At 39.3% G+C, this 26,836-nt stretch overlaps 1 protein-coding gene across 31 annotated transcripts in view, besides 6 other annotated features; it reads right to left on the bottom strand.

Moving 5' to 3' along the window:
* The window catches only part of ADAM22 (ADAM metallopeptidase domain 22), a 268,639-nt gene extending 245,657 nt beyond the window's left edge, over window positions 1-22,982 (bottom strand). For 20 of the 31 annotated variants that reach the window (XM_017012330.3, NM_001391975.1, XM_017012335.3 and 17 more), the window contains exons 1-2: window positions 22,683-22,982; window positions 22,047-22,207 (exon numbers count right to left, since the gene is read on the bottom strand). In XM_017012330.3, coding sequence (XP_016867819.1) covers window positions 22,047-22,207; window positions 22,683-22,767 — 246 coding nt within the window. In that variant the 5' untranslated portion in view covers window positions 22,768-22,982. Of the gene's footprint in view, window positions 1-22,046; window positions 22,464-22,682 lie in introns of those variants that run through there. The other 11 variants (XM_011516319.4, NM_001324419.2, NM_001391979.1 and 8 more) reach the window with 2 other exon arrangements.
* Window positions 1,320-1,821: an enhancer, noted in NCBI's record as "H3K4me1 hESC enhancer chr7:87584727-87585228 (GRCh37/hg19 assembly coordinates)". NCBI's record gives its function as "activates a minimal SCP1, AML or CMV promoter by ChIP-STARR-seq in naive H9 embryonic stem cells {active_cell/tissue: H9 hESC(naive)}" and the evidence as "EXISTENCE:reporter gene assay evidence [ECO:0000049][PMID:30033119]".
* Window positions 21,408-21,985: an enhancer, noted in NCBI's record as "H3K4me1 hESC enhancer chr7:87564563-87565140 (GRCh37/hg19 assembly coordinates)". NCBI's record gives its function as "activates a minimal SCP1, AML or CMV promoter by ChIP-STARR-seq in naive H9 embryonic stem cells {active_cell/tissue: H9 hESC(naive)}" and the evidence as "EXISTENCE:reporter gene assay evidence [ECO:0000049][PMID:30033119]".
* Window positions 21,720-21,799: an enhancer, noted in NCBI's record as "active region_26237". NCBI's record gives its function as "activates an Ori minimal core promoter by ATAC-STARR-seq in GM12878 lymphoblastoid cells {active_cell/tissue: GM12878}" and the evidence as "EXISTENCE:reporter gene assay evidence [ECO:0000049][PMID:35858748]".
* Window positions 21,810-21,859: an enhancer, noted in NCBI's record as "active region_26236". NCBI's record gives its function as "activates an Ori minimal core promoter by ATAC-STARR-seq in GM12878 lymphoblastoid cells {active_cell/tissue: GM12878}" and the evidence as "EXISTENCE:reporter gene assay evidence [ECO:0000049][PMID:35858748]".
* Window positions 21,986-22,563: an enhancer, noted in NCBI's record as "H3K4me1 hESC enhancer chr7:87563985-87564562 (GRCh37/hg19 assembly coordinates)". NCBI's record gives its function as "activates a minimal SCP1, AML or CMV promoter by ChIP-STARR-seq in naive H9 embryonic stem cells {active_cell/tissue: H9 hESC(naive)}" and the evidence as "EXISTENCE:reporter gene assay evidence [ECO:0000049][PMID:30033119]".
* Window positions 22,670-23,079: a silencer, noted in NCBI's record as "silent region_18354". NCBI's record gives its function as "represses an Ori minimal core promoter by ATAC-STARR-seq in GM12878 lymphoblastoid cells {active_cell/tissue: GM12878}" and the evidence as "EXISTENCE:reporter gene assay evidence [ECO:0000049][PMID:35858748]".

Genomic DNA, 26,836 nt, shown 5'->3' with positions numbered 1-26,836 from the left:
ATTATTGCCAGGAAAACTACAAGAAACAAAAAGTAACAGACAGAACATACAAGGAGGCACATGTTGATTCAACTTTCTAAAATCTTTTTAGCCAGAGATGTCTAAACAAAGGGCTGCCTCACAGGTACTGAGCTTACCTGTGAGGAATCCTGTAGGGTAGTTTTTAAAGTTGTGGGTAAGATCACAGAAAGGACTCTGAAATCACTTGAGTGCACCATAGGCAGGGTTTTAAAGAAAATGAAATAGAACAGAACAGAATGAAATGTATACCACTGTATGTAATAAGAATAAGTAATTTTTACGATACTTTCATGTGTGTGTTTCCACATGTCCACACAAAAATTTTTTACACACATGTTCACGGCACCATTATTTTAAATAGCCAAAGAATGGAAATAACTCAAATGTCCATCAAAATGAATGGATTGATAATGAAACACTACTCACGAATGAAATACTGATACATGCTACAACATGAATGAAACTGGAAAACATTATGATAAGTGAAAAAAGCCAGTCACAAAAGACTGGATAGTGTACGATTCCATTTATATGAAAGCTCAAGAGTAAGTAAATCTGTAGAGACAGAAAGTAGATCAGTGGGTGCCCAGGCTGAGGGTGGGAGGCAGTTAGGGAAAATGGGCATAAGGTTTCTTTTTGAAGTGATGAAAAGGTTTCAAAATTGACAGTGGTGATCGCTGCACAGTTCTCTAAATACACCAAAAACTCAATCGTATACCATTTTTAAATGGGTTAATTCTATACTGTGTGAATTATATCTCAATAAACCTCTTATAAAAATACATATAAGTAAGATAGGAACTATTTTGTTCCTGGGATTACATTAGGTTAGCTAAAGTCACAACAGCTGTATTTGATCTTTATCTTTTAATGTAGGGTCTCCTCTCCACCACAAGTCCTCACTTTTTCATCTGGTCTTAAAGCTACTTTCAGAGGAGGAGCCAAGATGGCCAAATAGGAACAGCTCCGGTCTACAGCTCCCAGCGTGAGTGATGCAGAAGACGGGTGATTTCTGCATTTCCATCTGAGGTACCGGGTTCATCTCACTAGGGAGTGCCAGCCAGTGGGTGCAGGACAGTGGATGCAGCACACTGTGCGCCAGCCGAAGCAGGGTGAGGCATTGCCTCACTCGGGAAGCGCAAGGGGTCAGGGAGTTCCCTTTCCTGGTCAAGGAAAGGGGTGACAGACGGCACGTAGAAAATCGGGCCACTCCCACCCGAATACTGCGCTTTTCCGATGGGCTTAGGAAACGGCGCACCAGGAGATTATATCCCGCACCTGGCTCAGAGGGTCCTACGCCCATGGAGTCTCCCTGATTGCTAGCACAGCAGTCTGAGATCAAACTGCAAGGCAGCAGCGAGGCTGGGGGAGGGGCGCCCACCATTGCCCAGGCTCGCTTAGGTAAACGAAGCAGCCAGGAAGCTCGAACTGGGTGGACCCCACCACAGCTCAAGGAGGCCTGCCTGCCTCTGTAGGCTACACCTCTGGGGGCAGGGCACAAACAAAAAGACAGCAGTAACCTCTGCAGACTTAAATGTCCCTGTCTGACAACTTTGAGGAGAGCAGTGGTTCTCCCAGCACGCAGCTGGAGATCTGAGAACGGGCAGACTGCCTCCTCAAGTGTGACTCCTGACCCCTGAGCAGCCTAACTGGGAGGCACCCCCCAGTAGGGGCAGACTGACACCTCACACGGCCGGGTACTCCTCTGAGACAAAACTTCCAGAGGAACGATCAGACAGCAGCACTTGCGGATCACAAAAATCTGCGGTTCTGCAGACACCGCTGCTGATATCCAGGCAAACAGGGTCTGCAGTGGACCTCTAGCAAACTCCAACAGACCTGCAGCTGAGGGTCCTGTCTGTTAGAAGGAAAACTAACAAACAGAAAGAACATCCACACCAAAAACCCATCTGTACATCACCATCATCAAAGACCAAAAGTAGATAAAACCACAAAAATGGGGAAAAAACAGAGCAGAAAAATGGAAACTCTAAAAAGCAGAGTGCCTCTCCTCCTCCAAAGGAACGCAGTTCCTCACCAGCAACGGAACAAAGCTGGATGGAGAATGACTTTGACGAGTTGAGAGAAGAAGGCTTCAGATGATCAAATTACTCCGAGCTATAGGAGGAAATTCAAATCAAAGGCAAAGAAGTTGAAAACTTTGAAAAAAATTTAGACAAATGTATAACTAGAATAACCAATACAGAGAAGTGCTTAAAGGAGCTGATGGAGCTGAAAGCCAAGGCTCGAGAACTACGTGAAGAATGCAGAAGCCTCAGGAGCCGATGCGATCAACTGGAAGAAAGGGTATCAGTGATGGAAGATGAAATGAATGAAATGAAACAAGTTTAGAGAAAAAAGAATAAAAAGAAATGAGCAAAGCCTCCAAGAAATATGGGACTATGTGAGAAGACCAAATCTGCGTCTGATTGGTGTACCTGAAAGTGATGGGGAGAATGGAACCAAGTTGGAAAACACTCTGCAGGATATTATCCAGGAGAACTTCCCCAATCTAGCAAGGCAGGCCAACATTCAGATTCAGGAAATACAGAGAATGCCACAAAGATACTCCTCGAGAAGAGCAACTCCAAGACACATAATTGTCAGATTCACCAAAGTTGAAATGAAGGAAAAAATGTTAAGGGCAGCAAAAGAGAAAGGTCGGGTTACCCACAAAGGGAAGCCCATCAGACTAACAGCAGATCTCTCAGCAGAAACTCTACAAGCCAGAAGAGAGTGGGGGCCACTATTCAACATTCTTAAAAATAAGAATTTTCAACCCAGAGTTTCATATCCAGCCAAAGTAAGCTTCATAAGTGAAGGAGAAATAAAATACTTTACAGACAAGCAAATGCTGAGAGATTTTGTCACCACCAGGCCTGCCCTAAAAGAGCTCCTAAAGGAAGCACTAAACATGGAAAGGCACAACGGGTACAAGCCACTGCAAAATCATGCCAAAATGTAAAGACCATCGAGACTAGGAAGAAACTGCATCAACTAACGAGCAAAATAACCAGCTAACATCATAATAAAAGGATCAAATTCACACATAACAATATTAACTTTAAATGTAAATGGACTAAATGCTCCAATTAAAAGACACAGACTGGCAAATTGGATAAAGAGTCAAGACCCATCAGTGTGCTGTATTCAGGAAACCCATCTCACGGGCAGAGACACACACAGGCTCAAAATAAAAGGATGGAGGAAGATCTACCAAGCAAATGGAAAACAAAAAAAGGCAGGGGTTGCAATCCTAGTCTCTGATAAAACAGACTTTAAACCAACCAAGATCAAAAGAGACAAAGAAGGCCATTACATAATGGTAAAGGGATCAATTCAACAAGAAGAGCTAACTATCCTAAATATATATGCACCCAAAACAGGAGCACCCAGATTCATAAAGCAAGTCCTTAGTGACCTACAAAGAGACTTAGACTCCCACACAATAATAATGGGAGACTTTAACACCCCACTATCAACATTAGACAGATCAACGAGACAGAAATTTAACAAGGATACCCAGGAATTGAACTCAGCTCTGCAACAAGCGGACCTAATAGACAGCTACAGAACTCTCCACCCCAAATCAACAGAACATACATTCTTTTCAGCACCACACCACACCTATTCCAAAATTGACCACATAGTTGGAAGTAAAGCTCTCCTCAGCAAATGTAAAAGAACAGAAATTGTAACAAACTGTCTCTCAGACCACAGTGCAATCAAACTAGAACTCAGGATTAAGAAACTCACTCAAAACCGCTCAACTACATGGAAACTGAACAACCTGCTCCTGAATGACTACTGGATACATAACGAAATGAAGGCAGAAATAAAGATGTTCTTTGAAACCAACGAGAACAAACACCCAACATACCAGAATCTCTGGGACACATTCAAAGCAGTGTGTAGAGGGAAATTTATAGCACTAAATGCCCACAAGAGAAAGCAGGAAAGATCCAATACTGACACCCTAACATCACAATTAAAAGAACTAGAAAAGCAAGAACAAACACATTCAAAAGCTAGCAGAAGGCAAGAAATAACTAAAATCAGAGCAGAACTAAAGGAAATAGAGACAAAAAAAAAACCCTTCAAAAAAATTAATGAAGCCAGGAGCTGGTTTTTTGAAAGGATCAACAAAATTGATAGACCACTAGCAAGACTAATAAAGAAAAAGAGATGAATCAAATAGATGCAATAAAAAATGATAAAGGGGATATCACCACCAATTCCACAGAAATACAAACTACCATCAGAGAATACTACAAACACCTCTACACAAATAAACTAGAAAATCTAGAAGAAATGGATAAATTCCTCAACACATACACCCTCCCAAGACTAAACCGGGAAGAAGTTGAATCTCTGAATAGACCAATAACAGGATCTGAAATTGTGGCAATAATCAATAGCTTACCAATAAAAAAGAATCCAGGACCAGATGGATTCACAGCCGAATTCTACCAGAGGTACAAGGAGGAACTGGTACCATTCCTTCTGAAACTATTCCAATCAATAGAAAAAGAGGGAATCCTCCCTAACTCATTTTATGAGGCCAGCATCATCCTGATACCAAAGCCAGGCAGAGACACAACCAAAAAAGAGAATTTTAGACCAATATCCTTGATGAACATTGATGCAAAAATCCTCAGTAAAATACTGGCAAACCGAATCCAGCAGCACATCAAAAAGCTTATCCACCATGATCAAGTGGGCTTCATCCCTGGGATGCAAGGCTGGTTCAATATATGCAAATCAATAAATACAATCCAGCATATAAACAGAACCAAAGACAAAAACCATATGATTATCTCAATAGATGCAGAAAAGGCCTTTGACAAAATTCAACAGCCCTTCATGCTAAAAACTCTCAATAAATTAGGTATTGATGGGACGTATCTCAAAATAATAAGAGCTATCTATGACAAACCCACAGCCAATATCATACTGAATGGGCAGAAACTGGAAGCATTCCCTTTGAAAACTGGCACAAGACAGGGATGCCCTCTCTCACCACTCCTATTCAACATAGTGTTGGAAGTTCTGGCCAGGGCAATTAGGCAGAAGAAGGAAATAAAGGGTCTTCAATTAGGAAAAGAGGAAGTCAAATTGTCCCTGTTTGCAGATGACATGATTGTATATCTAGAAAACCCCATTGTCTCAGCCCAAAATCTCCTTAAGCTGATAAGCAACTTCAGCAAAGTCTCAGGATACAAAATCAATGTACAAAAATCACAAGCATTCTTATATACCAATAACAGACAAACAGAGAGCCAAATCATGAGTGAACTACCATTCACAGTTGCTTCAAAGAGAATAAAATACCTAGGAATCCAACTTACAAGGGATGTGAAGGACCTCTTCAAGGAGAACTACAAACCACTGCTCAATGAAATAAAAGAGGATACAAACAAATGGAAGAACGTTCCATGCTCATGGGTAGGAAGAATCAATATCGTGAAAATGGCCATACTGCCCAAGGTAATTTATAGATTCAATGCCATCCCCATCAAGCTACCAATGACTTTCTTCACAGAATTGGGAAAAACTACTTTAAAGTTCATATGGAACCGAAAAAGAGCCCACATCGCCAAGTCAATCCTAAGACAAAAGAACAAAGCTGGAGGCATCACGCTACCTGACTTCAAACTATACTACAAGGCTACAGTAACCAAAACAGCATGGTACTGGTACCAAAACACAGATATAGATCAATGGAACAGAACAGAGCCCTCAGAAATAACGCTGCATTTCTACAACTATCTGATCTTTGACAAACCTGAGAAAAACAAGCAATGGGGAAAAGGATTCCCTATTTAATAAATGGTGCTGGGAAAACTGGCTAGCCATATGTAGAAAGCTGAAACTGGATCCCTTCCTTACATCTTATACACAAATTAATTCAAGATGGATTAAAGACTTAAACATTAGACCTAAAACCATAAAAACCCTAGAAGAAAACCTAGGCATTACCATTCAGGACATAGGCATGGGCAAGGACTTCATGTCTAAAACACCAAAAGCAACGGCAACAAAAGACAAAATTGACAAATGGGATCTAATTAAACTAAAGAACTTCTGCACAGCAAAAGAAACTACCATCAGAGTGAACAGGCAACCTACAGAATGGGAGAAAATTTTTGCAACCTACTCATCTGACAAAGGGCTAATATCTAGACTCGACAATGAAATCAAACAAATTTACAAGAAAAAAACAAACAACCCCATCAAAAAGTTTGCAAAGGATATGAACAGACACTTCTCAAAAGAAGACATTTATGCAGCCAAAAAACACATGAAAAAATGCTCATCATCACTGGCCATCAGAGAAATGCAAATCAAAACCACAATGAGATACCATCTCACACCAGTTAGAATGGCAATCATTAAAAAGTCAGGAAACAACAGGTGCTGGAGAGGATGTGGAGAAATAAGAACACTTTTACACTGTTGGTGGGACTGTAAACTAGTTCAACCATTGTGGAAGTCAGTGTGGCGATTCCTCAGGGATCTAGAACTAGAAATACCATTTGACCCAGCCATCCCATTACTGGGTATATACCCAAAGGACTATAAATCATGCTGCTATAAAGACACATGCACACATATGTTTATTGCAGCATTATTCACAATAGCAAAGACTTGGAACCAACCCAAATGTCCAACAATGATAGACTGGATTAAGAAAATGTGGCACATATACACCCTGGAATACTATGCAGCCATAAAAAATGATGAGTTCATGTCCTTTGTAGGGACATGGATGAAATTGGAAATCATCATTCTCAGTAAACTATGGCAAGAACAAAAAACCAAACACCGCATGTTCTCACTCATAGATGGGAATTGAACAATGAGAATACATGGACACAGGAAGGGGAACATCACACTCTGGTGACTGTTGTGGGGTGGGGGGAGGGGGGAGGGATAGCATTAGGAGATATACCTAATGCTAAATGACGTGTTAATGGGTGCAGCACACCAGCATGGCACATGTATACATATGTAACTAACCTGCACATTGTGCACATGTACCCTAAAACTTAAAGTATAATAATAATAAAAAAAGAAACATTACAAAGCTACTTTCACAGCCTCCTTTTACACTGAGATATAAATTCTTGAAGCTAATTATACTAATGTGCCTGTTCTCTACTGGTATATTTTTCTGATTTAAACTAGTATATGAAGATCTTTTAGAGGCATGAAGATTTCATGGAGTATGGGTAACATCCACCTCCTAAGAAATAAAAAAGTTATAAAAGAATATAAATATTTTATATTAACATATTAATCAATGTTATAATTTATATAATAGACGTGTAAACTTACATATTTTATTATCTATATTTTATATTTACATATAAATTTATATTAACATAATTAATCCATATTAAATAATATGAATATTTTAGATTAGGTTGTTAGTCCATAAAAGTAAGATAAAAACTAGAAATTTATTTTTAATTTTTAGACAAAATATCTGGGGCTTAGCTATAGGAAAAAAAAAAGGTTGTTGTCCTTAGTTCAAAACCATAGTTTAAAAAAATCAAACCCTAAAAATAAATAGTAAGGGAAATCCTTGGCTGAATATGCCATATGAATTCAAATCCATCAGAAATAGTAGATGTCACTCTCTCAGAAGACATACATCATTGTCTTAAAGAAAATGCAGCTCCAGGCAGCGAATGACAAAGTCTGGTGAATAAAGTCACACAAAAAGGTTAAATAGCTTGAATTTATTTTTGTTGGAAAAGACAGGGCTATAAAGTGACATGAATGATTTTGTCACAGTGATTATAGTGGCCTCAAGACAGCAAGGAGACTTTATGTGGTAGAACGTCAGTATGCCAATCATTGTCCAAGTTCCTGTCATTTTATTTGGCTGTCTCCCTCCCCTCGTCATCATGGCCCTGCCTTTCCTAATAGGCTTTGCCTTTCCTAATAAATCCTGACTCAGATTTGAAGCAAGAGGGACAGCTACTTCAATTCAAACACTCACCTTGAGAGCCCGGCCATACCAACACAGGCCCTGGCTCTGCTGGGCCAGGAGGGGTATAAGTGCAGGAAGAGGAGGAAAGAATTTAGGGCTTTAGCCATAAAAGTAGAATGAGGTCCACGATCCTCTCCATGCCATCCCAACGAAAGCATTACATAATCCAGAGAAAATAAATATTGTAACTCTTGGAACTATCTCAAAAGTACATACAATCACTAACAAATGGTCACAGAACTTTTTTCCTGCATTTTTGGTGAAAGAAAATTGAAACAAAAGTAGACCATAAATATTTACTGAGCACCAACTGTGTGTCAGGCACAGTGCTAAGCAGTGCACAAACAATAGTGAATATGAATAACCAATTGTGAGCCCAACATTACAATCTGTTTCATAAGAACACCTTCTACTAACACCCAAGTTATCGGCGCCCCAATCCCCTCCTTAATGGACACATAAGCATGCACAACTTTATGCCAAGCCTATGAGGCAAATTTTACTTTTAGAATACCTATAAAAATGCCTGGTCATTCCTTTATACTGAATATGAATCCTGTAGCAATGTAGCAATGGATCCCTATCCTGTAGCAATGGATTACTGTCAAAGACTTTGAAAAATGACATGATCAGCAAATGTAGAGGGTAAACTAAGCATATAATTTAAAGCTTAAATCCAGGGGATTATGAGCAGTGAGAACTAGGAAAATGATTTTAGGAAGGAGATTATTCCAGCAATAAAGGGCAGAAGGGACATTAAAATCCACATCCACAGAGGAGAATGAATGAGGAGCAATTCAAGGGGCACAACAGAAACAAATGAATGGAAAAAAAGAAAAACCTCACAAAATATAGGTTTACAAGTAAGTAGTAAAATGGAAAGCGTGTTGAATTATAACACATTTTCTAAATCCCAAAATAAGTCCAGCAATGTGCTACAGGGATGGTTCCCAACACTGAATGTAAATAACCTTTCAGAGACTTGTTTTTACTTTAGTTGCATAGAGAAAGAGACGCTTGGCAGAAATAGAGTGGGGGGAAATACAAAATAAACCAAGGGTCATACCGAATGAGAAAAGAGCAAAGCTATGTACACAGGAAAATGGAAAGAGGCTGCAGGAAAGTGACAGAGCCTATATTGAGGGATGATGAAAGAAAGAGAAGAAGAAAAAAGAGAAGAAACAATTGTCCAGGGAAAACCTGATGTAATGTTGGGGGTATGGGAGCATTAATGAAGAAACAGGGCCCTCTATAAGTCATGGCATCAACAATTTCATTCAGTCAATATTTGCTTGTTGAGCACCTGTTATGTACAAGGCTCTGTCTGTGCTCAACGATGGAAAGAAATACAAATGAAGATGAGGGTCCATGCCTTCATTCCATGTTATTGCGTGTAATTAAATTAAAATAATTTTTATTCCATAACCCTACAATAACTGCAAAGTTCATCATTTCATAATCAGAACACTTAAGAAAACACCCAAAACACTCATCAAAGACCGCAAGTAGATGTCATATTAAATTGATTATGAATAAATAGTACTTTTCCCTCGTTAACTATGAGAGAACATTGTCTATTCAAGATTATTAAGAACTATAAGAACATCATGCTAAACTTGTCTCAGAAATTAAATTAAGTGAAAATTCTTAGTATCTCGGCACCAATATCCTCTCCCCACCACTTTTTTTTTTTTTACTTTAGAGGATTCTGAGAGTCAATGAAAACTGCTATACACTGTGGTTTGACATAGTCTTACCTCTAGTAACTTACCTAGCCAGAATGGCTTCACCTTTGGTGACAGGAATGAACACTTCTTGAATTTCCCCTATCTTCTTATCACTCAATATCTGTCCAAGTTAGAAGGTACTTTCACGAGGAAATAATTCAGAAAAAAAGCTATGTACTATTTACAGCTAAACCAGCTATACAGGATCATAAAAAGTGAGAACATTTTTGTAGCCCTGAATCAAAGCTTTCATAATCTTTTTTTTATAATTTCAACTTTTATTTTAGATTCAAGGGATACATGTGCAGGTTTGTTACATTGGTATATTGAGTGATGCTGAGATTTGGGATATGAATGATCCTATCACGCAGATGCTGAGCATAGTACCCAGCAGTTAGTTTTTCAACCCTTGCCCCTCTCCTTCCCTTCCTCTCTCTTAGTCCCCAGTATCTACCATTGCCATTTTGATGTCCATGAGTATCCAATGTTTAGCTCCCACTTATATGTGAGAATATACAGTATTTGGTTTTCTGTTCCTGTATTAATTCACTTAATATAATGGCCTCCCGCCACATCTGTGTGGCTGCAAAGGATATAATATCATTATTTTTAAGGCTGCATAGTATTCCATGGTATATATGTACCACATTTTCTTTACCCAGTCCACCATGAATGAGCACCTAGGTTGATTCCCTGACTTTGCTGTTATGAATAGTGCAATGAACATGAGTGCATGTGTCTTTTTGGTAGAATGATTTATTTTCTTTTGGCTATACATAGACCAGTGGAACACAATAGAGAGCCCAGAAACAAAGCTGCATACCTCCAGCCATCTGATCTTCAACAAAGTGGGCAAAAATAAGCCATGGGGAAAGAACTCCCTCTTCAATAAACAATGCTGGGATAGCTGGCTAGTTATATGCGGAAGAATGAAACTGGACCCCTAACTTTCACCATATATAAAAATTAACTCAAGATGCTTCAAACTATAAGAATCTTAGAAGAATACCTAGAGAACACCATTCTGGAAATCGGCCTTGAGAAAGAATTTATGACCGAGTCCTCAAAGCAATTGCAACAAAAACAAAATTGTCAAGTAGGACATAATTAAACTCAAGAGCTTCTGCACAGCAAAAGAAACTATCAACAGAGTAAACAGATAACTTACAGAATTCAACAAAATATTAGCAAACTATGCATCCAATGAAAGTGTAATATCCAGAATCTATAAGGAACTTAATTCAACAAGCAAAAAATAAATAATCCCAATAAAACATAGGCAAAAGACATAGACACTCCTCAAAAGCAGACATACAAGCAGCCAACAAACAAGTAAAAAAAATGCTCAACATCACTAATCATCAGAGAAATGCAAATCAAAACCACAATGAGATACCATCTCACATCAGTCAGAATGGCTATTATTAAAAAGTCAAAAAAACAGATGCTGATGAGGGTAAGGAGAAAAGGGAACACTTACACACTCTTGGTGGGAATGAACTTATTCAGCCACTGTGGAAAGCAATTTGGAAATTTCTCAAAGAACTTACAACAGAACTACCATTCAATCCAGCAGTCTATTACTGGATATACATCCAAAACTTTCATCATCTTTGATGATGTTAAGGTTTCTACCAAAGTCAATAAAGTTCTTCCTAAGACATAATGGCTTCAGCCGGGCGTGGTGGTTCACGCCTGTAATCCTAGCACTTTGGGAGGCCGAGGCGGGTGGATCACGAGGTCAGGAGTTCAAGACCAGCCTGGCCAAGAAGGTGAAACCCCCGTCTCTACTAAAAATACAAAAAATTAGCTGGGTGCGGTGGCAGGCGCCTGTAATCCCAGCTACTCAGGAGGCTGAGGCAGGAGAATCGCTTGAACTCGGAGGGTGGAGGTTGCAGTGAGCTGAGATGGCACCACTGCACTCCAGCCTGGCGACAGAGTGAGACTCCATCTCAAAAAAAAAAAAAAAGAAAGAAAAGAAAAGAAATAATTGGCTTCATTCTTCAGCATACTGGCAAATTTGTAAATATATCTGTTTTTCAAAATCCTATCCTTATTAAACACTTACTTAAAGTTTTTCTGGAAGGCACATGAAAGCATTCCTAACTATTTGTAAGCTGCAGCTAATACCAACCTTGAAAATTCACAATCTATGGCAAACCATGACTGACACCAAAATTATCCATCTCAGTAAGAACGAATTTTCCAAATTCTAACTTAGGGACTCTTCATTTACACAACATACATTTATTTAACACATACCACATGCTATTCAAAATAAGATGTTGCTCATTTTGTACAAACTGATTTTTTAGAGTATGAAAAACTCCTGCATAAATTAGGAAATCAATATTTAATGGTCTCATCTCCTGATCCATGCAAGGCACAGTGTCTAAAGTCTAAACTGTAAAATGGGGAGAAGTGTGAAGCCCCTTAAAGCATTCTCTCACTAGCCTGCAGACCTTTACAAAGACCAAGAAGAAGAAAGAGGTGAAAGACAAGAAGGTAAAGAAAGAGGAGGAAGAAATAATAAAAAGAAAAAGAAAAAAACACACACATATAGAATAGGAAGGAAGAAGAAGAAGGAAGGAGGAGGAACCGAATACTTAAAGCTCATGTGTGGATGAGAACAAGACTGACTAAAAAAAAAAAAACAAAAAAAAAAAAAACACAAGTTTCCCTTTAAAGACCTAAGACACAGATCAAGGGTGGAGCCAGAAACTCAGAAAGTGCTTCAGACTCTTTCAGGTAGCTCTTTCTAGTTGAGCCAGAAGGATACTGACCTGACCAGCCTAGTATCTTCTCTTGATCATTTGCTCTCTGATTTCCCTGAGCCTCACCTGCCACCACCCTTTTACCTACAGCCTGTTCCTGACCATATCTGATGATCCTAGATCATTCCTCAGGTAACTGCTCGCCTCGCTCCCTCTCCAGCCTACTTTAGATTAATACCACCAAGCTATGTGTAGCCTCAACTGCCACTTATGCCTGCTGAGGAGCCACAGCTGAGTTCCTCAACAGAACACTAACAGGATATCCCAAAGGCATTAAAAATCCACTAGGGAAATCAAAGAAATCTGCAGAACCAGGTTCTGTCAAGTGGTAGCTCTTCCTGTAGCATCATGCTGTTTAATCCAAAGAAAGAAAACCACACAGAGAAAAAAGCTTGAGCAATGACCAAATTGTGTGTACCAGCAAATTGTGTGTACCAGCCTGACCCCCAACATCCTAACCTCATCCTAACCTTGAAGTGCCTAGGTTCAAATCCCCTAACCTCACTAGTGGAGGAAATGAAGGCAATTCCTCCGAAACAAACCTACTTAAAAGGCAAATTGAAAAAAAAAAAATAAAGCAGAATAGAAATTGACCAACTAGAGGTAAAAGCTAGAGACATGGGGCAGTGTGAAGCAGAATAAGTGGTCTCACACAACTCAACCAGGAGTTCTGCCTCAGCTAGAAAATTTTAAAATCACTTGCAAAATGTGAGCTCTCAAGGCCTATCTGCAGAAAAGCACCATCGATTTCTCATCTTCAAAGAGTTATCTAACAATCTTTACTTGAGACAAAAAATGCAACAAAAGGGCAATTATTGCTAAGTGCTAAAATCCCCTAGTACAAAATTAAATTTTAAAAAGGAGAAGAAAAATGTTCATTTAACCTCGCTGATACATGATTCTGAAAATCTCTTCAACACAAATAACAAGCATATTTAGGGGTAGGGGAGAATGATTTACGTTCTTTATTCCTTCTCTTTCCAGTTAGAACCGCTGATATTTCTGGATCATGGTACAAAATTTTCAATTTTATTTTCAAAATCAAGTTACAGAGAACAGTCTGTCCTGGGGGAAACAAAACAAACTTCTATTTTAAAAGGAACTCTAATGATAAAATCAAAAGTAAAGGATAGCCAGAAGTCAAAAATCATTTTTATATAAAATATTTCTATTTTAAAAAATACAGCATGTTGTACTCTATTTTAATTATATGTAAAATAACTGCAAGTTAGCTAGGGAGGAGACCTGGGCCAGACCAAGAAATAACGTTAGGTATGTTCCAACACAGAGATAAATGGGAAACCACATGTCAAATAAGTAGTAAAGATTATAAAAGATTATTTTATGTTGATGTCTAACATTTTGAGAATCCTATTCCCACTTCTACCACTTATTACCTGTATAACCTTAGGCAGGTTAATTAACTTCAGTTTCCTCATCTTCAAATGGGTATAACAGTATCTACCTCATAATGAGAGATAATGCATGTAAATCACTCAATACAATGCCTGGTACATGACAAAAAAAGTTATATATTATTTATATTTTGTATATATTATATATTTATACTTATATATTATAAATGTTTATATTTATTTAAGTTAATAAATACTAATCCTTATTTTTTCAACTATTTCCCCCAATGTTTGCTTGCAAGTGCTTTTATTATCAAAGTAAACACATTCAACTACATGTTTTCAGAAGCTATCATTTTTTGTTATTATTGATTACATATCTCTTTTACCTGAATGATATCACGTTTGGGACTCTGGTACTGCTAGTTCTATGAAGGCATAAAAGATACTTTGTATTTTTTCTTTTGGAGAAAAATATATGAATATGGATCCCTGCTTAGCAATTAATGTTTCTACCTATGAAACTTTGACCACAAAAAGGCATATACAATTTTGGTGTTGATTGCTGAATACTAATATGTGACTTACGATGAACGAGTGTAACAGAGAGTGTACATATCTACAAACAAATAGGACACGTGTCCTTCAAGAGGTGTTTTTCACCATTTAAATGTCAGATATCCTCACAAATTCCATTTTCATTTTCAAGATAATAAAAATGAAACATTCCTGTTGTGCTCTGCAAGCTTCTTCACTATTGTCTAACTTTAAAATGTATATATTTTTCAGGCACTAAAAGTCATATATAGTTCCAATGGGGTAAATGTAAGAAATCTGACTCCAGCAACATTTAATGGCATCTAAAGAATCGTTGGTGGCCCCCTTCCATAAGACCAGTCTAGCATAGTAGTTAAGCACATAGGCAGTGCGGTGGAGCTGAAGTGCCTAGGTTCAAATCCCCTATCAGCTTTGTGACTTTACAGATAAGTATTACCTGTCACACATGATTTTTTTGAGGACGCAATGAATTAATGTACATCAAGTATTCAGAAGACCATTTGGCACATAAAAGGTAGCCATGTAAGTTACCATATATTTAGCTATTTTAGTATATAACATATATAGTGACACTATTAAAAGTATTTTTCTCTTTTTATCATTTCCTTTTCCTTCCACCTTCTCACCATTCCCCTCAAGGACTCTACCTTTTCTTCTGCTCCATCCCCCAGCCCCACTTTTATGAACATCTATCTTCTTTCCCTTTGGGGCTTATCCATGCTACTTAATGATAAATATGGCCCTATCTAATTAGCCCCACTGGAGTTAGGGAATACTACCGACCTTACAGATTCCTGTTCTCAGTGTGTTGTGAGAAAAAAGCAGGCCTCTCTCCAAGTTCTTCTAAGGGACTCTATTTGTTAAAAACAACAGGAGAACTCTTGGCATTCTTTGCAATATGAGAAAGCAAATAAAAATAGGAACATTTTTTATCAACCTATAAGCTCTTAGAGTCATTCATAGTTAGTTTCCTATGTGTAGCTATACAGAAGTGATGAAAGACTGATTCCTTCTGTGCACCATAACCTCATTAGGTAGAATTTTAAAGATACGAAAAATACATATATATACAAATTGGGATTTCATAGCATAAAAACAAGACTAAGGGAAACTCCTACGATTCTGAATTTTACTTTTTTTTACAATTTAATTGGAAAAGAAGATGGTTGGTAGGAGAATAAAAATTCATTGTGAAATGTCTCCTATTTATAGCAGTAGAACAAAGTTCTGATTGGTGGCAAAAGGTTATCAATATTGAGCCACTTACTTTAACAAATGCACAGTATAAAAAAAAAAAGTTTGTGCTACCCTCGCAAAATACTTCCAAAGTTGTAATTCCTAGGAGCCATTTTCCGCCACGGAAGCAGTACTGCAGACAATTTACCATCAAGCTGACTCAGTGCCCCTCAATGAAACAGCACAATGTAAAGTACAGCTCATCCATGCACAGGAATATGTATAAGTACATCAATAAAAATGGAGCACACCTACTGCTTGCCATCTTGCTGCCATTTGGCATTTTTCCCATTTGTTACTGGTTATCAAAACTATGACAAACTGTAGATCTATGTCCTTGGCACTTTAGTACTTGGGAAGCTATAACACTTCCTAGGGAAAGAGCCAGAGGAAAAAAGTTAGCCCGTCTATTCACTGACAACAAAGGCTTCCAACAAAAAGAAATTTTGCTCCTTGTAGAAATATATAATCACTGGGTAAAAAACAAAGTATTAAAAATGTATGGGGTGAAAACACAACAAAATAAACCACAAAATAACATCCTGGATGTAAATCTGTGACGCTTAGTTGACAAAAAAGAATCATTAAGGTGCTTATTCAAAAAATAGCAATTATGTGTATCAAACAATGAGTAGTATCAAACCATCAATAAGACTCAGTAGGTGATATCTTGCCTACACAGAAGTCCAGGTAAAAGTATAAGTTTTATCCTTTTACCTGCAAACATACAATTCTTTCAGCACAAATAATTTCAAGACAGAAGAAAGGCTCTCAATATTTTGAATATTCTAGGCCTGAATGCTATTTTCCAGGAATGAAATTACTTTAGACTAGGTAAACAACTTTGAAGATAGCAAGGCTACCCACAGTCAAATATAATTACTTTGACTACCATTTCTAGGACTTTGTGGCATAATAAGCTTTCAGTAGTGGGCTGATCCTCCCACTTGTGATAAAAATAAAGTATATGCATTCAAGTAACCATACAGTAAAGAAATCACTTACAATATGTACTTATATCAACAGAATTACTATTTAAAACCAATCAAATTGTCAACATTTAAAAGAACTACAATGAAAATTTCTTCTAAAATTTTTCTGTCCCAATTTGGGGATGAAAATTGAAACAAGGACACATTAAGAGTAAAATTAATGTGGTTTATATCATTGTAGTTCTTGGAAGCTTTCTGAAACATTAAGTAATACATTGCTGATTTCCATACTCTTTTTAACCTTTTAAAAAATTGACATATAATAACTATACATATTTATGGGGTACATAGTGATGTTTTGATGCATACAATGCATACTGATCAGATCAGGGTAATCAGCATATCCATCTTGGTGAATGGCTTGATTTTTTTTTTTTTTTTTTTTTTTTGAGATAAAGACTTGCTCTGTCGCCCAGGCTGGAGTGCAGTGGCACCATCTCTGCTCACTGCAACCTCCGCCTCCCAGGTTCAAGTGATTCTCATGCCTCAGGCTCAGGACTACAGGTGCCCACCACCACACCAGGCTAATTTTTGTACCCTTCATAGAGGCGGGTTTCACCATATTGGTCAGGCTGGTCTCGAATCCTGACCTCAAATGATCCACCTACCTCGGCCTCCCAAAGTGCTGGGATTACAGGTGTGGGCCACCATGCCCAGCCAATGGCTTGCTCTTAACAAGTGAAAAGTAATTCCTGAATTAGGTTAGATAACCTATAAGTTCTCTTCTATCTCTAGGACTATTTGATTCCACTTAGTTAAATATAAATTTGAGTAATTTCTAACATACTTCTGGGACTATGTTAAACTCAGGTAATTAAGGCACCATTTTGCATTCAAGTGATGTCATAAAATATCTAAATAGTACTCAAGCAGCCTGAAGGAGTTAATGTTATTTAACAAAGACTCATATAGTGCTTACTCTATGCCCAGCATTGTTGTAAGTGCATTATAAATATTAACTCATTTATAGTTATTTTCAGTATATTTACTAAGTTCTTATGATTCTTAAAGATTATGTGAACATTTACTAGTGAACTAAAGTACACAGCTACAGTCACGTGCTCTTTGAAATTAAAATTATTCATTCTAACAATTAGGATTATCTGACAATAACATGAATCTGGTCAGTTAACTCTCCTAACTGAAATCCTTTGACTGCCTTCAGGACAAATTCCAAATTCCTCAGCAAGTCATGAAAGTGCCACAGCATCTACTCTTTGCTTTCCTGTTTTATCTTATCTGTCCCTGAAATCTTTACTATTTGCAATTAACAAAAACATACCCTGATTCCCATGTACCTATGTACTTACTGCCTCTTTGGTTGGATATGCTCACCCTTCCTTTTAATGCAGCAATTCCAAACTCACCCTTGAAACACGGCTTCCCCAGAGATCCCACCCTGACTGCTCACCTGGGTTAAGTACTAGCCTTCTCTGCCTCCGCTGGCCTCTGTGATCACCTCCAGAAAATCACAAGGCAAAGTATAACTGTTTATTCACCCACTCATCTTCCACGTCTTTAAGAATTCCTTAAAAGAAAACTGTGTCTTTTATCTCTAAATGCCCACAGTCTTGCATAAAAATTGGTACAGAGTAGGAGCACAAATAAATAAATGCCTTTTAGGCCAGCCGCGGTGGTTCACGCCTGTAATCCCAGCACTTTGGGATGCCAAGGTGGGCGGATCACAAGGTCAGGAGATTGAGACCATCCTGGCTAACATGGTGAAACCCTGTCTCTACTAAAAATACAAAAAATTAGCCAGGTGTGGTGGCACGCGCCTGTAGTCCCAGCTACTTGGGAGGCTGAGGCAGGAGAATCGCTTGAACCAGGGAGGTGGACCTTGCCATGAGTTGAGATTGTGCCGCTGCACTCCATCCAGCCTGGGCAAGAGAGTGAGACTCCATCTCAAAAGAAAAAAATAAATAAAATAAATAAATAAATGCCTTTTAAAGAAACAAATCAACAAATCTATATAAGCTTTTTGAGTTCACAGAAAATCACCCTGATTTTATTTATGAAGTAGAAAGGAAGTTGATAAACATATCTATGGGTGGCCAGGCATGGTGGCTCATGTTTGTAATCCCAGCACTTTGGGTGGCCGAGGTGGGAGGATCACTTGAGGTCAGGAGTTCTAGACCAGCCTGGCCAAAATGGTGAAACCCTGTCTCTACTAAGAATACAAAAATTAGCTGGGCATGGTGGTGGGTGCCTGTAATCCCAGTTATTCAGGTGGCTGAGACAGGAATATCGCTTGAACCCAGGAGGTGGAGGTTGCAATAAGCTGAGATCACGCCATTGCACTCCAGCCTGGGTGACAGAGCAAGACTCCATCTCACAAAAAAAAAAAAAAAAAAAAAAAAAAATCTATGGGTATCTAAAATTAAAATGCCATAAATTAGAACTATTTAAGTATTAGAGAAATAACAAGGGCCATAAAAAATCAACTTATGTTTTTCAATCCAATGATTGCTCTTAGGGAAACTAGAAATGCCAATAGTGCAAGAAAACTCCTCTGTTTCCTAACTGTAGGAAAAGTTGGCCTAAGATAAACAGGTCTTTAAAATTTTGTCAGATTTGGTCCTAGTTGTCAATGATTTCCACCTGTAGTTTAAGCAGCATGGTAAAGTGCAGTGGCTCCCAAGTGATAGAGACATCAACATGTACTATGTGTACCTTACTATGTACACATATCCCAGGCACTGGGATAACGTTTTGTAATAATTACTATAAGATGGTATCATTGCTTTCATTTCTGACTTGAATTAATCATCTATTCATACTTTTAAACCTAAATCCTACCAATTCATTCATACTTCACCAAAAACCAGTCATTCTTCTCTATTGTGATGTTTATTGCTATAGGGAGTAGAAGCTCTATGAACCCAAAATAGCTTTCCACCCCAAGTCAAGACTCCTGTGAATCAAAAAACTGCACAAGTGGTGCTCCATAAATGGGGAGAAAAGGAGGACTGACCTCCTCCACTTTTCAAAAGTGGTGGTCTTTCACCAACACAGAAAAGGCAAGAGGTACCCAAAGACATTTCCAGCATGAGTCAGAGATTCTGTGAGTTTCCAGGTTCAATCCTGTCATTTTCTTTTTCTGTATCTCTTCTTCCCTCAGTCTCTCTTCCTCTCCTAGAAAGTCTTTGTGAATTGTTTTAAAGCACTGGCTACAACAGCAAAATCTTGACTCTGAGCAACTCTACAAGATGAAAGACTCCATGTCTTCACTGAAAAAATTGCAAGGGGAAAAAAAAGAAATAGAGGGGAAAGAACCACACATTAAAAGACCTTTTAGAAAACAGAAAAACAGGCTAGGCCCCCACAACTCACACCTGTAATCCCAGCATTTTGGGAGGCCGAGGCCAGCAGATGATTTGAGCCCAGGAGTTCAAGGCCAGCCTGCGCAACATGGTGAAATCCCATCTTTACAAAAACAAATTTTTAATTAGCCAGATAAGGTGGCACATGCCTGTAATCCAAGCTACTCAGGAAGCTGAGGTGGAAGGATCACTGGGGCCCAAGAGGTCAAGGCTGCTGTGAGCCATAATCGTGCTACTGCACTCCTGTCTGGGTGACAGAGTGAGACCCTGTCACAAAAAATAAATAAATAAACTAATTGCAATCTACAGACATTATCTGGGTCCTGGTCCAGACAAACTTACTTAAATATATACTCTAAATATACTCTCTCTCTCTATATATATATATATAATATATATACACACACATATAAACATTCACACACATACATATACATATATACATACATATTTACGAGAACTGGAAATTTGAAAAACAGGATATTTGATAGTAGTAAGAAATTACTCCTAATTTTTGAAAATACAGTAACATGGTTGCATTTTTAAAAGAATCCTTACTGTTTAGTGGTAAATTCCTATAATTTTTATGAATGAAATGATATGATTTGCTTCAATACAATATAGAGAGGGAAAGGAAATAGAAAAAGAAATACGTAGGGTATAGACAAAACAAGATTGGCCATGAGTTGCTAATTGTTGGAGCTGGGGGTTCATTAATTTATCCTACTCTTTTGTGTTTGAAATTTTTTATAATAAAAGGTTGCAAATGGTGTGAAAATATCCTTCCACAGAAATAATCTTAATTAATTGAAAAATACGATGACATAGGGAAACTATGGCCCCTGCTTCTTCAGTTTTACCATTGAAACGAGTCAAAATGGAAAAGGAAAATAGGCATTTACCAACCATTAATTCACATAAAAGAATCCATCATTAAAAGCTTAACATATTGGGATTTTCTACTAAAATAATCTTTGATGGATATTATGTAGCCCTTTAAGCTAATTTCCCACCTTCTATTAACAAAATGTTAACAGTACCAACTACTTGGCTACAAATACAGATTTAAGTAATATTTTCTATTTTTACATATTTCACACATACAGATAAGTTAGTATAATTATCACATCATCAAGATATATCTTAAAGCACTGATGAATATATTTATACATGTGAAAAGGTTTGGCTTGCCATTGCTTCAGTAAAGTTTACAAAAATTTTCAAGTACATGAACAAGTCCTATCTTAATATGGACTTACAGGTGGGTGAACTGCCTGATCAGCTGATGTGTAGAAATAAAAAAATACACAGCCCCAGAAGTATTTACTTAAATTTGTCAATAAATTCACAGTAATTTTCAGGCATATCTGTGAATGTGTGATCTTGATTTAAATACAGATACAGTGATAAAAACTAGATTTTTAAAAACATAATTTATAAATGCTCAACAAACAGCACAGCCCTAATTAAACCAAGAGAACTGCTACCAATAAAGAAAGTCGGAGGAGGACACCTTTTCTAGAAGGTAGGGGTGAATGGGCATATCTCTGGTGTCCACAAATGTGTGCGAATAGAACCTTAAAGTTCAGCTTGTTTTTACAGTTGGGTTTCTTAAGAACGTCTAGCCTTGTTTTTTTCCAATTTTTTCTTACAGTGTCAACCTTGGGTTAAATCACTTATGAAGTCTCTTTGAGGAGTAAAACAACAACAATGATGATTCAAACCCTGCCCAAATACTACCTCCCTTCTCGCTGTGCATGCCTGGCTTTTGCTTGACAGATGTCAGAGGGCTCTCCGCCTGTTCTCTCAGCTCACCGCACTGCTGAAGGCACCCCGCACAAACTCCCCTCGGGCAAAGCCCTCGGCCTGTGGTTATTTTGGTTCTTTTTTGTACCCTTTTCCCCTTCTTTTTTGCACAGGGAGCGCCATGCATGACTCGCATCGGGACCCAACTCATTTCACCCAAGAAGACATGGGATCTCCAGGGCAACCGAGCGCAATCGTGGGGTCTCGGGTGGGCCGGGAGGCGCGGAGGACCACCTCCCGGACCGAGCCTCTCACCTGCGGGCCACCGAGGTCGCCCCGCACCCGCGTGTCGAGCGCGTCGTGCCGACTTTCGTCTTCGCCGCCCGAGCGGTAGATGAGGCGCAGTGGCACGATGCTCTGGCGCTCCACGAAGCGGTTTTCCTTCCTCTTCTCTAGCTCCATCAATGAGGCGTCTCCTCCAGGCAGGAACCGGGAAAGGAGGGAGTGGAGAGAAAAGGCGAAAATAATGACCCTGACCCTCACTCCTCCATCCTGCAGTCCTACGTCTCCCCTACGAAAATCCCCACCGCCCCCTCCCTCTCGGAACCCAACTGGGAAGGACGCAGAGACACCAGCCCGAGAGCCTTGGACCAGCTCATCCGAGAGCAACCAGGAGCGGGGCCCAGAAGCAGGGCACCCCTTTCCCATTCTCCCCATTCCTCTTCAGAAGGAGAAAAACAGGCTTTGACCGAAGGCTTCCAGTGCATCTGCGCGCCTCCACACATATATTTTTGCTCCACTTCTCACCACCCTCCCGAATTAAAAAAAAAAAAAAAAAAAATCTCCCCGCGCACTCGGGAAATGGGGATGCCCCCTTTTCAATACGCCTGAGGGCTCCAAAGATTCCCGGGAAATGGTATGGCCCAAAGGCACAGAGGACGGCTAACTTACCTGCCTGGCCGCAGCGCGCCGGAGGGCAGGTCCCCAGGACACAGAGCAGCAAGAAGGGCACGGACACAGCCACTGCCGCCTGCATGGTGCTGCCGTCAGCCCGCCTCGCCCGAGACGCTCAGCTCCTCATGCCGGCGCCGCCGAGTCCGTTTCCCTCGCTCCGCGCCCCCGGGGTCCCCGCGGCCACCTCCACCCAGCCCCGGCCGGTGCTGCGGCGGCCGTGGCGCTGCAACCTCCACCGCGGCTCAGTGCTGCATTGTGCTTCGCGGACGCTTCCGCTGGCGGGGGGAGCGAGCGAGTGCTGCATTGGGCGGTTGGCTGTAGCTAAGTGGTTTCTAGCGCCTCCCACCTCATCCCCTGGCAAAGGCTCGGGCGGGCGACAAGAGCTCGGCAGGGAGCGAGCGCCCGGTGCACTCGCCCCCCGCGCGCAGGCAAGGGCGCGCGCAGGAGAGTCAGCTGGGAAATGTAGTTCTCTCTCCGTGTCCCGCTTGTCTCCACGACGGCACGGACCGTCGCGACCTCGTGACTGTGAGGTCCTCTATATCCCACAGACTGGAAGGGCGGGAGGGAAGGGCAAAAGAAAGAGATCAGCACTGGACCGCCTCCTGGCATCCGAGATGCACCAACTGGGCCGTTACAGCAGCCAGTATTCATCTGCATCGTCCTTAAAGAGCTGTTCTGTTTACCACAGATTAGTAGTTACTTAAGTTATCCGGAGAACCATACCCTCACGAATACAGTGCTAGTGAATTATTCAACAAATACAGATTGAGGATATACTATGTACCCAGCGGTTGACAACCGGAAGGACACGGGGATCAGAGGCACCTGTTCTTGGGTAAAGTTGAGCAGACAGACCACTTTTTTTTACAATACAGTGTGAAAAGTGTCATGGTTATACCTAGAGGACCATTAATTCAGTCCAGGGAGTCAAAGAGGACCTCCCAGGGAAGGTCTCTGCAGGTAATAGAGGGATGATTTAGCTTAACTCTACGGGATATTTTTGTTCTTTATTGCCAGACAGCCTCAAAACTCTACCAGATATGGGGAACTCAGTTTTCTCAGGCTGCTTATTCCATTTTCCTCTGATTCAAAATGATAGAAATTCTTGAGTATAAAACAATAATAAAATAGTTATCTACATAAAGTAATACTTGTATTTTTTAGTTTTTCAAAGTTCACATGTATTATCTGATCCTTTGGTCAAGAATTTGATTATAACTATTACTCTGATTTTATATTTATGTATGTACGTATGTATGTATGTATGTATTTTTGAGATAGGGTCTTGCTCTGTCGCCCCAACTGGAGTGCAAGTGGTGAGAACACGGCTCACTGCAGCTCAAGCTCCTGGGCTCAAGCCATCCTCCTGCCTCAGCCTCCCAAATAGCTGGGACCACAGACATGTGACACCACACCTGGCTATTTTTTGTTATTATTATTACTTTTTGTAGAGACAAGAGTCTCCCCATGATGATCAGGATGCTCTTGAACTCTTGGGCTCCACCTTGGCCTCACAAAGTGCTGGGATTGCAGATGTGAGCCACTGCACATGCCTACTCCCATTTTAGAAAGGAAAAAAATTAAGATTTAGAGGTGTGCCTTTCAAATACTGTAGCCAGTAGTTACTTGAGGCTATTTTTTTTTTCCGAGTGTTTATTATTTATTTTTGTATTTCAATCGCTTTTGGGGAACAGGTTGTGTTTGTTTACATGAATAAGTTCTTTAGTGGTGATTTCTGAGATTTTGGTGTACCCATCACCCGAGCAGTGTACACTGTACCCAATGTGTAGTCTGTTATCCCTCACCATCCCCCACCCTTTCCCCTGAGTCCCCAAGTCCAATGTATCATTCTTATGCCTTTGTGTCCTCATAGCTTAGCTCCCACATATGAGTGAGAACATGCAAAGTTTGGTTTTTCATTCTTGAGTTACTTTACTTAGAATAATAGTCCCCATTTCCATCCAGGCTGCTGCGAATGCCATTATTTTGTTCCTTTTTATGCCTGAATAGTATTCCATGGTATATATATGCCACATTTTCTTTATCCACTCGTTGATTGATGGGCCTTTTGACTGGTGCCATATTTTTGCTATTGTAAATTGTGCTGCTATAAACATGTATGTGCAAGTTTCTTTTTTGTATAATGACTTATTTTCCTCTGGGTAGATACCTAGTAGTGGGATTGCTGGATCAAATAGTAGATCTCCTTTTAGTTCTTTAAGGAATCTCCATATTGTTTTCCATAGTGGTTATACTAGTTTACATTCCCACAAACAGTGTAAAAGTGTTCCCTTTTCATTGCATCCATGCCAACATCTATTTTTTTTTATTATGGCCATCCTTGCAGGAGTAAGGTGGTATCGCATTGTGGTTTTGATTTGCATTTCCCTGATAATTAGTGATGTTGAGCATTTTTCCATATGTTTGTTGGCCATTTGTATATCTTCTTTTGAGAATTGTCTATTCATGTCCTTAGCCCGCTTTTTTAATGGGATTGTTTGTTGTTGTTTTTTTCTTGCTGATTGTTTGAGTTCTTTGTAGATTCTGGATATTAGTCCTTTGTCAGATGCATAGTTTACGAAAATTTTCTCCCACTCTGTGGGTTGTCTGTTTACTCTGCTGATTATTTCTTTTGCTGTGCTGAAGCTTTTTCATTTAATTAGGTCCCATCTATTTATCTTTCTTTTGTTGCATTTGCTTTTGGGTTCTTGCTCATGGAGTCTTTGCCTAAGCCAATGTCTGGAAGGGTTTTTCTGAGTTATCTTCCAGAATCTTTATGGTTTCAGGTCTTAGATTTCAGTCTTGATCCATCTTGAGTTGATTTTTGTGTAAGATGAAAAATGAAGATTCAGTTTCATTCTTCTGTATGTGGGTTGCCAATTATTCCAGCACCATTCGTTGAATAGGATGTGCTTTCCCCACTTTGTGTTTTTGTTTGCTTTACGGAAGATCAGTTGGCTGTATTTTGCTTTCTTTCTGGGTTTTCTATTCTGTTCCATTGGACTATGTGCCTGTTTTTATACCAGTACCATGCTACTTTGGTGACTATGGCCTTATAGTATAGTTGGGAGTCAGATAATGTGATGCCTCCAGATTTGTTCTTTTTGCTTCGTCTTGCTTTGGCTATGTGGGTTTTGGTTCCATATGAATTTTAAGATTGTTTTTTCTAGCTCTGTGAAGGATAATGGTGGTATTTTGATGGGAATTGCATTGAATCTGTAGGTTGCTTTTGGCGGTTTGTTCATTTTCACAATATTGATCGTACCCATCCATGAGCAAGGGATGTGTTTGTTTTTTTTGCATGTGTCGCTTATGATTTCTTTCAGCAGTGTTTTGTAGTTTTCCTTGTAGAGGTCTTTCACATCCTTGGTTAGGTATATTCCTAAGTATTTAATTTTTTTGCAGGTGTTGTAAAGGGAACTGAGTTCTTGATTTGATTCTCAGCTTGGTCATTGTTGGTGTACAGTAGAGCTACTGATTTGTGTACATTAATTTTGTATCCTGAAACCCTGCTGAATTCATTTACCAGTTCTAGGAGCTTTTTGGATGAGTCTTTAGGGATTTCTAGATATACGATCATATCATCAAAAACAGTGACAATTTGACTTCCTCTTTACTGATTTGGGTGCCCTTTATTTCTCTCTTGTCTGATTGCTCTGGCTAGGACTTCCCGTACTATGTTGAGTAGAAGTGGTGAAAGTGAGCATCCTTGTCTTGTTCCAGTTCTCACTGGGAATGCTTTCAACTTTTCCCTGTTCAGTATAATGTTGACTGTCAGTTTGTCATAGATGGCTTTTATTACCTTAAGGTATGTCCCTTCTATGCCAATTTTGCTGAGGATTTTGATGCTGGTTTTGTCAAATGCTTTTTCTGCATCTACTGAGATGACCATGTGATTTTTGTTTTTAATTCTGTTTGTGTGGTGTATCACATTTATTGATTTATGTATGTTAAACCATCCCTGCATCTCTGGCATGAATACTACCTGATCATGGTGGATTATCTTTTTAATATCCTATTGGATTGAGGTAGCTAGTATTTTGTTGAAGATATTTGCATCTGTATTCATCAGGGATATCAGTCCGTAGTTTTCTTTTTTTGTTATGTCCTTCCCTGGTTTTGGTATTCAGGTGTTACTGGCTTCATAGAAT

This window comes from Homo sapiens, chromosome 7 (genome assembly GCF_000001405.40).
Source record: "Homo sapiens chromosome 7, GRCh38.p14 Primary Assembly".
NCBI classification, from domain to species: domain Eukaryota; kingdom Metazoa; phylum Chordata; class Mammalia; order Primates; family Hominidae; genus Homo; species Homo sapiens.
This window is presented reverse-complemented; position numbering and strand designations above follow the sequence as displayed.